The sequence below is a fragment of the Homo sapiens genome, chromosome 3, assembly GCF_000001405.40.
Source record: "Homo sapiens chromosome 3, GRCh38.p14 Primary Assembly".
Taxonomy (NCBI): Eukaryota; Metazoa; Chordata; class Mammalia; order Primates; family Hominidae; genus Homo; species Homo sapiens.
The window spans coordinates 141206572-141207662 of NC_000003.12; the positions used below are offsets into that span (position 1 = coordinate 141206572).

Here is a 1091-nt window from a genome sequence, read left to right on the forward strand (position 1 = left end):
CGCTGAGTCCTTCTAATCTTCCTTTTCTACAGACCCATCTGACCTCTCCCCTCCTTGCCAGGCCGAGCTAGGTCCCAATTCTTCCTCAGCCTCCGCTCCTCCATCCTATAATCCTTTAATCACCTTCCCTCCTCACACCTGGTCTGGCTTAGAGTTTCGTTCCGTGACTAGCCCTCCCCAACCTGCCCAGCAATTTCCTCTTAAAAAGGTGGCTGGATCTAAAGGCATAGTCAAGGTTAATTCTCCTTTTCCTTATCCCAAATCAGAGAGTGTTTAGGCTCTTTTTTGTCAAATATAAAAACCCAGCCCAGTTCATGGCTCTTTTGGCAGCAACCCTGAGATGCTTTACAGCCCTAGACCCTGAAAGGTCAAAAGGCCGTCTTATTCTCAATATACATTTTATTACTCAATCTGCTCCCAAAATTAAATAAAACTCCAAAAATTAAATTCCGGCCCTCAAACCCCACAACAGGACTTAATTAACCTCACCTTCAAGGTGTACAATAATAAAGTAGAGGCAGCCAAGTAGCAACATATTTGAGTTGCAATTCCTTGCCTCCACTGTGAGACAAACCCCAGCCACATCTCCAGCACACAAGAACTTCCAAATGCCTAAACCGCAGTGGCCAGGCATTCCTCCAGGCCCGCCTCCCCCAGGAGCTTCCTACAAGTGCCAGAAATCTGGCCATCAGGCCAAGGAATGCCCGCAGCCTGGGATTCCTCCTAAGCCATGTCCCATCTGTGCGGGACCCCACTGAAAATCAGACTGTTCAATTCGTGGGGCAGCCACTCCCAGAGCCCCTGGAACTCTGGCCCAAGGCTCTCTGACTGACTCCTTCCCAAATCTTCTTGGCTTAGCAACTGAAGACTGACGCTGCCCGATCACCTCGGAAGCTCCCTAGACCATCACGGACGCTGAGCTTCGGGTAACTCTCACAGTGGAGGGTAAGTCTGTCCCCTTCTTAATCAATACGGAGGCTACCCACTCCACATTACCTTCTTTTCAAGGGTCTGTTTCCCTTGACTCCATAACTGTTGTGGGTATTGACGGCCAAGCTTCAAAACCCCTGAAAACTCCCCCACTCTTGTGC

At 49.6% G+C, this 1091-nt stretch overlaps 1 annotated feature.

The window, feature by feature from the left end:
- Positions 222 to 723: an enhancer, noted in NCBI's record as "H3K4me1 hESC enhancer chr3:140925635-140926136 (GRCh37/hg19 assembly coordinates)". NCBI's record gives its function as "activates a minimal SCP1, AML or CMV promoter by ChIP-STARR-seq in naive H9 embryonic stem cells {active_cell/tissue: H9 hESC(naive)}" and the evidence as "EXISTENCE:reporter gene assay evidence [ECO:0000049][PMID:30033119]".